Source organism: Homo sapiens, chromosome 8 (genome assembly GCF_000001405.40).
Source record: "Homo sapiens chromosome 8, GRCh38.p14 Primary Assembly".
NCBI lineage: Eukaryota > Metazoa > Chordata > Mammalia > Primates > Hominidae > Homo > Homo sapiens.
This window is the reverse complement of record NC_000008.11, coordinates 50,759,648-50,774,585: the sequence shown is the minus strand read 5'-3', so window position 1 is coordinate 50,774,585 and position 14,938 is coordinate 50,759,648. Positions and strand designations below refer to the sequence as shown.

Here is a 14,938-nt window from a genome sequence, read left to right as displayed (position 1 = left end):
TAGTGTATATTTACTAGTGGCAAATGTTCTTTTTTTTATATGTAATAATGACTTAATTCTCCTCCACTTTGGAAGGAGAGTTTCACTAAATAAGAACCTCTTATATGACAGCCTTTTTGTTTCATCACTTAAATGTGCCGTTCTATTACCTTCTAACTTCCACAGTTTACTATAAAAAATGAGCTGTTATTCTTATTAACGACTCTTTGCATGTTGTGAGTCATTTTTATTTTGCTGTTTTCAAGATTCTCTGGCCTTTTGCTGGTGAATCATGATAATTTTATGTCTTTTGTTTTTATTCTACATGGAGTTCACTGAGCTCTTCAAATATGTATATTAATATTAAATTTGAGAAGTTTTCAGCTGTTATTTCTTAAAATATTGTTTCTATCCATGTCCCTTCTTGTTTTCTTGGTATTCCCTTTATATATATGACAGTATAACTTATGCTGTTATAGAGACTTCTGAGACTCTGCTATTTTTCTTCATTTATATTTTTGTTATTCCTTAGACTGGATAATCTCAGTTGCCCTATTGACATTGAGATATTGTGAACTCTTCATATTCTCTTAATCTTTCTTCATAAACTCAAATGTTTTGTTCAGTTCATCTCAGAATTTTTAAAATTTCAGTAATTGTACTTTTCAACTGAAAATTTTATTTGATTCTTTTCATTACTTCTATCCTTTCATTAACATTCTCTATTTGGTCAAACAGGTTAATTCTTTGGGCATAGCTTCATTTAGACCAGTTAATATATTTGTAATACACAATTGAAATTATTTTACTAGTAAGTGCACCAGCTGGTTTTCCTCAAAGAAAGCTTCTATTGAGTCTATTTTCTTACAGAAAGGCCACAATTTTGAGAATGTTTTCAATGTCCCATAATTTTTGTTTAAAACTGGCATTTCAAAGAATATTCTTGGACATCAGATTCTCATTCTTCCCAAGAGTCTGATGCTGTTGCAGTTTGTTGTTGATGTTTTCCTATCTGTTTCACTGATAGGAAACAGACTATTTCTGTCTATTTAGCTTCTTGGTCATCTATTGTTTTGACCAATATTTCTGTAAATTACTAGAAGCAAAGTCTTACAACTTTTCCATGGGGCTCTGTGTGTGTTTTGTGGCACTTCTTTAATCCTCTGGAAATTTACAACTCTTTCTAAGTCTTTACTTTCTTCTTGCACAGATCTTTAAGGCTAGCCAGAACTGAGAGTTTAGGGCATCTTTTCTCATCATGTGCATAGCTCGGCACATTCATGTGCCCTTCTAGGTTCTCAGGAATGTATTGGAGCTTCTAAAAGACCCTCATTGGAACCTCATTCCTCAGATCTTAAGTTTTTCACCAGCATCTTTCTTGCCACAACTGGTATTGCCAATTCAAGTAGGTGTGATCTTAAACTGTTGATTGTTAAATACTTAGGTTAGCAATTTTTCCAATGAGAAAGGTCTGAGTGAGGTCAAGTAATGACAAGGCCTGTGTCTTAGTCCGTTTGTGTTGCTATAATAGAATATCTGAGGCTGGGTAACTTACAGAAAAAAGAGGTTTATTTGGTTCATTACTCTGGTGACTGAAAGGTCCAAGGTGGGAAAGCTGCATCTGGTGAAGGTTTCAGGCTGTTTCACCTCATGGCAGAAAGGGAAAGTGGAGTGGGCATGTCCAAAGAGATCACATGGTGAGAAAGGAAGCAAGACAGAGAAACTGAGGAAGCCAGACTCTTTTTAACAAACCACTCCTGTGGGAAATAATGCATTTCCACAAGAGTAAGATCTCACCCACCTTTGCAGCAGGGAATTAATTTATTTATGGGGGAATCTACCCCCATGACCTGAACAGTTCCCTCTAGGCCTCACATTCCAACACTGCCATATTGGGAATCAAATTTTGACATGAGTTTCAGAGGAACAAACCATATTCAAAGTGAAGCATTTCACCTCTGCCCCCATAAAACTCATGTTCTTCTTACAATGCTAAATACAATCATTCCCTCCATTTGGTCCCAAAGGTCTTAACTTTTCCAGCATCACCTTGAAAGCCCAAAGTCCAAATTCTCTTTTGAGACTCAGGGCAAGTTCCTTGTAGTTATGAATCTGTGAAATCAAGAGCAAGTTATTTATTTCCAAGATAAAATAGTATAACAGACATTTATTCAATGTTCCTATTCTAAAAGGGAAAACTAGACAAAAAGAAATAAATGACAGGCCCTACATAAGTCCAAAACACAGCAGGGCAGACAGTAAATCTTAAGGCTCCAGGATAATTTTATTTTACTTCATATCTCACACCCTGTGTACATTGTTGTGAAGGGTGTGTTCTAAGGTCTTGGGCAGTTCAACTCCCGTGGCTTTGTTGAGTGTCACACATGTGTCTGCCCTCATAGATTGAAGTTTGGTTCCTGTAGTTTTCCTAGGTGGGCATTACATGGTGTTGGTGGCTCTATAATTCAGAGGTCTCAATGGTGGCCCCAGTAGCTCACCTAGGCATTGTGCTGGTGAGGACTTGGTAGAGCTCTAACTCCACATTTCCACTCAGCATTGCCCTATGAGAGGTTCTCTGTGGTGGCTTTGTCCTGTGACAAGTCTCTGCCTGGGCCTGCAGGTTTTTCTATATACCCTTTGAAATCTCAGTCAATAAAGGCTTGTTTCCATAGCTCTCACATTTTGCAGGCCTGCAGAATCAACACCATGTGGATGCCAAGGCTTACTGCTTGTGCCTTTCAAAGCAGAGTCTTGAGCCTTACTTGGGGCCACTTGAGCCATGGCTGCTCTTGATGTGGAGAGCAGCATCCTGAGGCAGCACAGGACTTCAACAGCCTAGGCCTGTCCCCCAAAACCATTCTGTACTCCTAGGCCTCTCAGCCTGTGATGAGACTGGCCTCAAAGATCTTTGAAATGCCTTTAGGGATTTTCCCCATTATTTTGATTATTAGCACTGGGTTTCCTTTCAGCCATGCTAATCTCTTTAGCAACTACTCACTGGACCCAACCCTCAGCACCCTTTCCAAACATGCCTTTTCTTTTTATATAATTGGTCTGCAAATTTTTAAAATCTTTACGTTCTGCTTTCCTCTTAATTATAAATTGTGCTTTTAGGTCATGTCTTTGCTCTTAAATCTTACTGCATGCAGTTAAATGCAACCATGCAGTTGCCTGAATGCTTTACTACCTGAAGTTTTCTTCTGTCAAATATTAATCACTCTTAAGTTTGACCTTCCACAAAATACTAGGGCATCGACATAATGCAGTCAGGTTCTTTGCAAGGGTGTAATAGGCATATCTTCCACTGTTTTTATTTCTAATGGCATTTTGGTCCTGACCACATAATGAATCTCTAAGAAGTTCCAAACTTTCCCTCATCTTTTTGTCTTCTTCTGAGTCCTCACCAGAATCACCCTAAGGATCCCATTCATAGCAATACAGGCTTTTTCTAGTCTCCTCCAAATTTTTCCAGCCACCAGTCATTACCCACTTCCAGTGCCACTTCCCCATTTTCAGATATCTGTAGAGCAACACCCCACTCTGCATGCCAATTTTCTTAGTCCATTTGTGTTGCTATAACAGCATACTTGAGACTGGATAATTTATCTTTTAAAAAAGCAGTTTATTTGGCTCTGATTATGGTGGCTGGAAAGTTCAAGGTTGGGCAGCCACATCTGGTGACTGCCTTAGGTTGCTTGACCTCATGGCAGAAAGTGGAAGTGAAGTGGGAATATGCAAAGAGACCACATGGTGAGAGAGGAAGTAAGAGAGACAAACCTGTGAAGCCAGACTTGTTTTAACAACCAATTCTCATGGAAATTAATCCATTTTTTCCTCCTAGAATGAGAACTCACCCACTCCCACAAGAGGGCATTATTCACCACTATGACCCAGACACCTCCCAATAGGCCCCACCTCATCACACTGTCACATTGAGAATCAAATTTTAACATGAGTTTCAGAGGGGAGAAGCCATATTAAAACCATAGCAGCCTGCAAATTGACTTCTCTAGGAAGCTTCCAGATAGGTCAGATGATTATGATCTTCTTGAGATTATGCTTTTTTAGAATCTGCAAGCCCAGCCCACACCCTTCAGTGGGTTCTGAGGTGCTGGGTCTTATAGCTAGCTACCATGTTTTCTAGGATGCATATTTTCGAGGTCACAGTGGTGGTCTGGACAGGGTAGTAGGAATATAATAAGCTACAATGTTGCAAAGCTCTCCATTCTTACCAAAACTTGAAGCTTGTTTTGTTTTTAATAAATGCTGTATGGTTATTCCAAACATTTAATTTATTTCCACAATTCTGAATAACATTGATTCTGATAATTATGAATATTTTCTCATTGCCTTTCCAGAAGAGTGGAATTTCAAAAGTCATTACTATGCCATTCTGAAAATCCAGCCCACATTCACTTTTGATTTCTTAAAATGCCTAAGGCACAGTAATTTGCAAAATGTTTATGGTCCATAAGTATCAATTAATTTGCATTCCAGCGTTTATAGGCATAGATCAGAATCCAACCTATTGTTTTGATCCTTTACTCTCTTCATCTATTTTATGGGTTTCTAAGGACTATAACCTGTACTCTTTGTGATTTGGATTATTGGTTTATTATGTATCTTAATCTCCTGATCCTCATTACTGAGTTTGGCAAATAAAAATAGAAACTTATTACATTGCCTATCTCTGCTAAACTGCTTGCTTCAAAATCTTTTAGGTTCTTTTAGGATTTTGATGTAATAGAACAATGTTTAATAAAATTTTGCTTTATCTCTTTTAAATTAATGTAAATAAAATAAGAGATTTGTATCTCAATATCAGGTTTACACTGTTCTTCTCATATTAAATTATTTGGTGAATATTAATATGTCAGCCAATATCTTGATACCTATGGCCATAAATGTTAAGGTGGCATGATGAATGCAGTTAAGAAACTTACTTGGGGCATGAGGAGACCTAAATTTATACAGTTAGTCTTACTTTATTGTGCAAATAATTATAAATAGACATATGTATAGCTTCAGGATAATTCTGTTTTTCCAGTTGAAATGCAGTTTATTATTTCTACCCTTAAATGCTTTGATGATGATGGTGTTTTTTTGTTACAATTACCTTACTATGAGAACATAATACAGTACTTGGTTACTACACTCTGTGTTTTGTTACTTTACTTCCTGGGAAATTGCTTCCAGAAGGTCTTCAACTTTAAAATTCTGATTTTCAAAATGTTCTTACTTGGGTCACTTACTAAAAATTTATTTACAATTCTTCTCTTCGTAGATGATTACTTTTGTCAAAAAGGATAAAACAAAATGCTGCATACTATAGGCATGTTCCCTTTGACAGCTACTATTTTGGAGGCAGTTAATATATTTGTTTTATCTATAAGATGTTAATGCAAATTTTATAGTCTACCGAGAGAGAAAATGTACAGAGTGTTAAGAGTACAGAGTACTCTTAACACAAACGGGTAGAGAAATTCACTATTCTGATGGAGAATAGGAGATTTGAAAATAAATTATATGCAAGGAGAAAAAATATATCAATGAAAAATAAAAATAATTCAGAATCCTCAGTGATTCCCAGGAGTTTAAAATCTCTTCTAAGGGAGAGAGAGGCACTATCTTGTCCAGATATCTTCTTCACCACACATTCCTGTTCTCAATTCAATCATTAGTTTGAAATAAAATTTCACATAAAATAAGCTATTATGGAAGTTATACACAAACACACACCTGCACAAATGTGAGTTCAATTTTTGTCCTAACTTATTTCTATCTACTTAAGTCTATTTTACAGAACGAAGCACTCCAAACATGAATTTATGCAGGACCTGTGCTATTAAGCAGATGCTCTGCCTCATCCTCATTTTGTCTTCTCTGTAGTCTAAACAGCCAGTGCTTTGTACAGCTGGAAATGAGAGGGAAAGGGATCTTGGAATTTTAGAAAACCTTTGGTTTCAGATACCAGATAGAGTCACAAATTGTGAAAAGCCAGATAGACTGAAAGCTGATCCTTTATTTACAAGACAGAAAGAGAGCCTTGATCCCAAATACCTACCCAGCCTTGTGAATATTAAAAGACCTTATTTATAAGACTCAAGTGCCAAACAGGGATTCATTTAGATTACCAGCCATCTTCTTCTGAAATCCAAACATCAACACATCATGAATTCTTCAGTCAGGAGCTTTGAAAAACTGAGCATCCAAAGTGTTCCATTAATTTTGTTATGTATTCAATCCTTATGTTCAAATCAGAAACATTTTTTTTTCTCTAGAGCGACCCTTTAAGGTAGGTGCTTTAAGGCACAATTTACAATGAGAAAATGAAGATTTATAGAGACTAGCCAGAAAGTAGTATTAATGGGAGTCAATCCTCAATTTCTGACTTGAATTTCACTAATACTTAATATATTTGAAAATTTCTCTTATGATGCTGTAGTACCTGAGATGGTGGGGACTTGGGGCAAGGAGATGTTTGGGGAAAAGGAGCCTCCGATGATCAGCTCCATTTAAAAATCTTCCCAAGTTCTGCACTGTTCCACTAAATAGAGAAGCAAATTTCTTTCCCTTCTCTTATGTACTGTACAAAATGCACTAGCATGACTTTCAGATCTCAAACTCAGTAGTTTAGACGAATATGCTGTGTACACTAGTTTAGGAAATATTTTAACATTATTTCCATAAGGGGAATTATCATGAAATTCAATGAATAAAGCTACACCAATGTGTGTAGAATACAGCACGTTTTGAAATCAGGGGATTTTCTCTCCATGTTAAGTCCAATTATAATTTAAGAAAAAATACATATACATAAACATATAATATTAGAGGCAGTAAAGAAAAGTATTGTGACTCAGAATGTTTAGTTATAAATGACTATGAGAATATATCAGTAAGCCTAGCTGTATTAGTGTCTAAATGAATATTATATATAGAAACAACTTTTAAGTTATCAGTGGCAATAAAATAAGCTTTTGTAACTTGTCAAAAAAAACTATAATACCGCTCAAGGCTTCAATTGGGAACCACTCCCCTGTTCCACTAGGGAAGTTCTGAGAAGTTTAATTAGGCTTTGGAAAACAGATGGGAAATTTATTAAGCTTTCTGAGTAATGAAGTAAGAATTTATGAATTTTTGCTATCAGAGGAAGAAAGTATAAAAGGTTTTTTGTATTATGACATTAGTCTTATATAGATCAACAACAACAACAGCAAAAAGATAAAACAAAGTTCTCCCAATTCCTATGTAAACCCACACGATTTTCTTCAGTATTTCTGACGCTTTCTCACAACCAATGAATTAAGCACTATTTGGAATGTTTAATGTTGTAATACATATGGTGGCTCATGCAATAATATTCCCCAAAGAAACCATATTTCTTGTTAAATAAGCTCTGGTTATGATGTATTTGCCCTGGGAATATGTATATGAATTGTTAAACTAATGCATGTTTTGTTGAAAGTATTTCCCTATTATCACATATGGTAAGTTCTAAGTCTATTCTGAACCATTTTCACCACTGCTTAGATTATTTTCCTTAGAAAAGGAAAGAAACGTTGTAACAGCCTCCACATTTAACCACATTTTCAGACCCATATTTCACACCCTGGCTCACCTTTTCTTTTTAACTTTGATGAAATAAAATCTCTTCACTTATTAATAATTTATTTCTTTTGGGTGATGATCTTTTATTGACAATCATAACTTCAAAAATATATCATATCAAGATGGTGATTTTAAAATGTAGCACTTTATTAAATATATTATATCTTAGAATTTTTCAAAGATTTGCAAATTACTTATCATACTGTTGGAATTCTTGGATGCATGGGAGGACATATGGGCAGCAGATAAGTAAAATCTTCCAATAAGTTTCTGTAAACAAGTTCAACAATTTTTGGCATTAATTGTTAATAAATAGGTATATTCTCTTGCCTTCAATATATTTGAGATGGGGACACAGGAGAACAAAGTGGTAAATATTATTTGCTTCTACCCCCAAAATAATGTTTTGTTTTCTGTAGAAATATGTGTAAAGTATAATCTTAAATCCCTCTAAAACAAGCCTGGTCTCATAATGAAATCTTAAATACTCAAACATTTCATTTATAATACGTTCTGATGAAAGCTTTACACGCAAATAGCTATTAAGCTATATAAAATTAAGTGAAAATGATAGCCTTCAATTATTATTCCCAAATCAGCAGTAAGCAAGGCAAAAAATAATTTGCATCACAAGCCACATACAATTTTGAAATACTGTAAGAAACCATCTTAGTAACAGTACTTTTAGACATCACTCACAGTTACCTATTAGCTTACCTATCTAAAGTCTGGTAAAGAGAGATCAGAGCAAGAAATAGAAAATTTGACTTTGATGAATGAATGTTGTTCAATATTTTCGGGATGAAAAATGTTCTATTGAATGGTAACTAATGGGGTAAGGGAGGTATGGAGACAACCAGCTTCTTGTTATGCAGACAGTGGCCTCCACCAGAACAAACTGTCCTGGGTTTCCAGTCTCTCCTTCAATAGAATCCACTGCAACTCATAATTTAGCAGCAGTTTACAGGTATTTTATATTTAACATTTGAGGTTTAAAATAACTGTGTAAAAATTAAATTGGGTTAAATTATCTTAAGCCACGTAAATTCCTCAGTATTGTTTACTCATATAAAATCTACTCTTATTTGAGTCATATATGTGTAAAAATAAGGTGAAATCTAGGCATTGCATTATAGAAAACATTATTTTACAAAATAAGCCTACATAACAATGTCTCTACATGTTAAAAGTTCTCTCTCCAGACTACTCAGCAGTTACAACAAGAGCCACATGATAATTTTACTTCCACTGTCAACTTTAAAAATATTTTTTGTCACTATTCATTGGGGTTATCAAGAGTGAGAAACTAACAATCAGAGTAATCAAAATAAGTCAAATAATTTTTCTTTTAAAAAATGGCATTAACAGTTTAAAAATAAACATAGTACTATGTTGGAGATAGAATAGATGTACTTTTCCTTATTCCTCTTCCTAAGTATCATCACAAACCCTGGACAACATACATAAAATGAATGTAAGGACACCCTGAAAGAGAGAGAAGAGGCAGGCAGACTAAGAACCCAGAGACCCCAGGACCCTCACAACACGTGACAAGTTCTCTGGGTTTGCCTCTCTGTGTCATATCCCCCAAACAAGATAGTGGAGAGGCTGGCAGCCCAGAAATACCAATGGATGCAGACCAGTAAACCTAAGAGAAGCCTACTCCTTCTAGCCACGTGACCTGAGAGGGGCAGTCTAGCAAGACAGAAACTGTTATACAATAATTGATATTCTTTAGCCAAATGCTACAGAAAAGCCATGGCCCCATACCCACTCATGCCTGCAAAGGCCCAGTAATAAGCTTGGGCATTTTTCCCCTCAGATACTTATCATCTCTTACTCTAGTCTAACAAAACATTGTACCTTTTGACCAAAATCTCTCCATTCCCCCTATTCTCCAGTCTCTGTAAATACTACTTCTCTTCTGAGAGTTCCATGGTTTTGATTCTACATATAAGTGGGAACATTTGTCTTTCTGTGTCTGGCTGACTTTACTTAGCATAATGTCCCCCAGATTCTTCTATGATATAATGTCCTTCTTTTTTAAGGTTGAATACTATTCCATTATGTATACATATACCATATTTTATTTATCCATTTATCAGTTGATGGACATTTAGGTTGATTCTGTGTGTTGGCTATTGTGAGTGGAGTAGCAATTAACATGAAATTGCAGATGTCTCTTCAATATACTTATTTCAAATCATTTGCATATATACTCAGAAATGGGATTGCTGGCTCTACACAGAGTGGTGGTTCTATTTCAGTTTTTAGAGAAAGCTCTTCACAGTTTACAACGTGGCTTGTATAAATTTACATTGCCACCAACAGCATACAGGGGTTCCCTTTTTTCTACATTTTTGCCAACACTTATCTTTCACCTTTTTGATAATAGCCATTTGATAGATATGAGGTGATAGCCCATTGAGTTTCTAATTTTCCTAATGATTAGTGATGTTAAGCATTGCTTCATAGGTTCACATGTACATAAATGTTGGCCATTATTATGTCTTCTTTTGAGAAATGTCTCAAAATGAGTCCTTTGCCCAATTTTAATGGGTTATTTGTTTTGTACTTTGAAGTTGTTTTAGTTCCTTATATATTTTGATTACTAACACCTTATCACATGTACAGCTTATAAATATTTCTCCCATGATATAGGTCGCCTCATCACTCTGTTCATTTTCTTTGCTGTGAGGAAGCTTTAGAGTTTGATATAATCCTGTTTGTTTATTTTTTGTTGTTGTTGCTATTGTTGCCTGAGCTTATGGAGGCAAATCCAAAAAGTCATTGCCCAGACCAAAGTCATATAATGTTTAGAGTTGTTTTTATATATGGTGTTAGATAAGAACCCAATTTCATTCTCCTGAACATGAAAATTCCATTTTCTTGTCACCCTGTTATTGGAGACTGTTCTTTTCCCATTTTGTATTATTGGGGCCATTGTAAAAATCAATTGATCATAATCACACAGGTTCTTTTCTGGCCTCTCTATTTTGTTTCATTGGTCAGTGTGTCTATTTTTTTTTATCAGTATTCTGCTGTTTTAATTCCTATACCTATGTATAGGAATTGCCTTGGTTATTTTTGTGTGTGTGTGTGTGTGTGTGTGTGTGTGTGTGTGTGTGTGTGTGTGTGTTTCTGTATTAATTTTAGAGCTTATCTCTAAAAAAGTAAAATTGAAATTTTGGTAAAAAATTTAATGAATCTATTAATCTTTTGGGGGTAATATAGACGTTTTAACAACATTAATTTTTCCAATCCCTGAACACAGAATTATCTTTCATGCTTTTCTCTTAAAACCACACACACACACACACACACACACACACACACACACACACACAATAAAGGCAATCTTGAGCCAAAAGAGTGTAGCTGGAGACACCACACTACCTGGCTTCAAACTGTATTTCAAAGCTAGGAATTAAAACAGTATAATACTAATAAAAACAGACACATCAACCAATAAAATAAAAGAGAGGCCAGAAGAGAATCTATGCCATTCTGAGTTCTTTCCATATATTTGTGTCTTCCTCAATCAAAATTATATGATATATGATGCAGAGGATGAAAAAAATGAAATCATATAGAGTATGTTCTCTGGAATCAGACTAAAAATCAACTCTAGAAAGATAAATCCCCAAATACTTAGAAACTAAACACCCCCTTTCTAAAATTCTGAGTATCAGGGGCTTCAGGTTTCCAGTTCAATGTGTAAGAACCTAGAAGTTTCTACCCCATCCTGGCAACAAGGAAAAAGCCAAACGAACTGAAAAATCGACAACTCTCCTTATCTCCATTGGGGAAAACCACTGTCCCCAAAATTGGAAGGACAGACAGTCATATTCCAAGAATCACGGATTGTTGGAACAGAAATCACTGAGTAAAAACCTCTGCAGAAACCGGTGCTGAGGTGGGGAAGCCTGAAGTATCATTGATGACTTGCTGGAGGCTCAGTGTGGACAAGTCTGAGAGATAAGAACTCTAGGGGAGCATAGTTATCAGTGTCTCCACACTTCTGTAATTTTTACTTCCAGGATCTTGACCAGATTCTCATAGTGGATTTTGGAGAAAAATCCCCAATGCTGCTGGTAGGAGGGGAAAACATTTAAAAATAGCTAAGGCAATAGAGTGTGACGTCTGGCTTCGGAGCAGGAACCTTCATTGCTCAAGAGACTTAAAAGAGAATTAAATATGGGTGATGTTGAGAAAGGCAAGAAGATCTTTGTTCAGAAGTGTGTCCAGTGCCACATCATGGAAAAGGGAGGCAAGCACAAGACTGGGCCTAATCTCCATGGTCTCTTCGGGTAGAAGACAGGTCAGGCTGTTGGATTCTCTTACACAGATGCTAATAAGAACAAAGGCATCACCTGGGGAGAGGATACACTGATGGTGTATTTGGAGACTCCCAAGAAGCACATCCTTGGAACAAAAATGATCTTTGCCTGCATTAAGAAGGTAGAAAGGGCAGACTTGATAGCTTATCTCAAAAAAGCTACTAATGAGTTGGCCACTGCCTTATTTATTACAAAACAGAATGTCCCGTGAGTTTTTTATGTCCACCATACTTTAAGAGATCTCATACACCAGAATTCAGATCATGAATGACTGACAGAATATTTTGTTGGGCAGTCCTGATTTAAAACAAAGACTGGCTTGTGGTTAAATGAATATGTTCAGTTTTTGAATTTTAATAGTAATTCCAATTCAGTAAATGCTATCGCTATTCACCCCTTCTAAAGATATGTTAGACTTCATTAGTAATGTTCAACTTTTCACAAAGACGCTGAGTACCATCTTAAAACTTACTGGAGATTGGTTTTATATTTAGATTTATATAACTGGTTATGTGAGTATATTTAAATACGGGGGAAATTTCTTCACTGTCTCAGAACCAAGCAAGATTCACTTGTGTTTTGTGTTAATTTGCCTCTTAAAGGCAAGGGTTGAAGATAAATAAGGTAGCAATGTCTACTTTATATTTTTGGCCTTAACTATGCCAGTGTAATTAGAATTCCCTATATTTAAAATGGTTCCTTTTACTTATTGAAAGGCATTTTAGTGTGATTTATGTGTAATATCAAAGATTATTTAACACTTCTTACATTTTATTGATCTGTAAGGTCACATGCTTTTAAAATAGTAGTAAGTTAAACTTCATTCTTGAATTCTTCACAATCTAAGTCAAACTAAGTTATAATTTAGGATTGTCTTTAAACAGCCATTCAGAAACATAAAACTGTAGAACTGCTGTGTATTTGTGATTGGAATGGTGCTTTTGCCAACTTAAAAGGATTAAAGTAGAGGAGATATACACAAGTTTTAAAATTATGTGTGATCATAAGACAAGATAATTAAAAAGAAAACCACAGATCATGAAAAAAAAAAATAGCTCAGGCACTATGTTCTTCTTAGCAAGGCCTGCCCTCAAGAGAAACTAGGTAACCTGAGCCTAACTTGCTGGTGTTTTATCAGAGCCTAACTCACCTTGGAGAAGGGAAATACCCTACTCCAACCCCTTCCAGCCATCCTGTCCAACCTAAGCGGGGGTGACTGAGCAGCATATGTGAAGCCACAGTTCAGAGGCACAGGCCAGCTAAAAGACTGAGTCCTACTCACAAGCTGTAGAACACTCCCCTCCCCCACCTTAACACAACATTACTGAAGGCAAGTTTGTAACAGCACCTTTTATTCAGTACGTCATGCCTGACTGAATCAGGAAAACGTTGCATTGGTTCTGTTTATGTGAAGAATTAACGTTTATTGATTTGTGTATGTTGAAACAGCCTTGATCCCAGGGATAAAGCCAACTTGATCGTGGTGGATAAGCTTTTTGATGGGCTGCTGGATTCGGTTTGCCGGTATCTTACTGAGGATTTTCGCATCAATGTTCATGAGGGATATTGGCCTGAAATTTTCTTTTTTGTTGTGTTTCTGCCAGGTTTTGGTATCAGGATGATGCTGGCCTCATAAAATGAGTTAGGGAGGATTCCCTCTTTTTCTATTGTTTGGAATAGTTTCAGAAGGCATGGTACCAGCTCTTCTTTGTACCTCTGGTAGCATTCGGCTGTGAATCCGTCTGGTCCTGGACTTTTTTTGGTTGGTAGGCTATTAATTGCTGCCTCAATTTCAGAACTTGTTATTGGTCTATTCAAGGATTTGACTTCTTCCTCGTTTAGACTTGGGAAGGTGTACGTGTCCAGGAATTCATCCATCTCTTCTCGATTTTCTATTTTATTTGCATAGAGGTGTTTATAGTATTCTCTGAGGGTAGCTTGTATTTCTGTGTGATCAGTGGTGATATTCTTTTTATCATTTTTTTTGTGTCTATTTGATTCTTCTCTCTTTACTTCTTTATTAGTCTGACTAGAGGTCTATCCATTTTGTTGATCATGATTATCTCAATAAATGCAGAAAAGGCCTTTGAACAAAATTCAACACCCTTCATGCTAAAAGCTCTCAATAAACTAGTTATTGATGGAACATATCTCAAAATAATAAGAGCTATTTATGACAAACCCACAACCAATATCATACTAAATGGGCAAAAACCTAGAAGCATTTCCTTTAAAACCTGGCACAAGACAAGGATGCCCTCTCTCACCACTCTTATTCAACACAGTATTGGAAGTTCTGACCAGGCAATCAGTCAAAAGAAATAAAGGGTATTCAAATAGGAATAGAATAAGTCAAAATATTTCTGTTTGCAGATGACATGATTGTATATTTAGAAAACCCCATTGTCTCAGCCCAAAATCTCCTTAAGCTGAGAAGCAACTTCAGCAAAGTCTCAGGATACAAAATAAATGTGAAAATATTACAAGCATTCCTATAAGCAATGACAGACAAATGGAGAGCCAAATCATGAGTGAACTCCCATTCATAATTGCTACAAAGAAAATAAAACAACTAGGCATACAACTTACAAGGGATATGAAGGACCTCTTCAAGGAGAACTACAAACCACTGCTCGAGGGAATAAGAGAGGACACAAACAAATGGGAAAACATTCCATGCTCATGGATAGAAAAAATCAATATCATGAAAATGGCCACATGCCCAAAGTAATTTATAGATTCCATGCTATCCCTGTCCAGCTACCACTGACTTTCTTCACAGAATTGGAAAAAACTACTTTAAACTTCATAAGGAACCAAAAAAGAGCCCACATAGCCAGGACAATCCTAAGCAAAAAGAACAAAGCTGGAGGCATCATGCTACCTTACTTCAAACTATACTACAAGGCTACAGTAACCAAAACAGCATGGTACTGGTACCAAAACAGACATATATATACATATATATACCAATGGTACCAATATATATATATATCAATGGAACAGAA

The 14,938-nt window shown here is 35.9% G+C and overlaps 1 protein-coding gene and 1 pseudogene across 13 annotated transcripts in view; one reads left to right on the top strand and one right to left on the bottom strand.

Moving 5' to 3' along the window:
• SNTG1 (syntrophin gamma 1) overlaps positions 1–14,938 on the bottom strand; it is an 886,897-nt gene that overhangs the window by 22,107 nt on the left and 849,852 nt on the right. The window lies entirely within an intron of this gene.
• CYCSP22 (CYCS pseudogene 22) lies at positions 11,722–12,400 on the top strand (annotated as a pseudogene).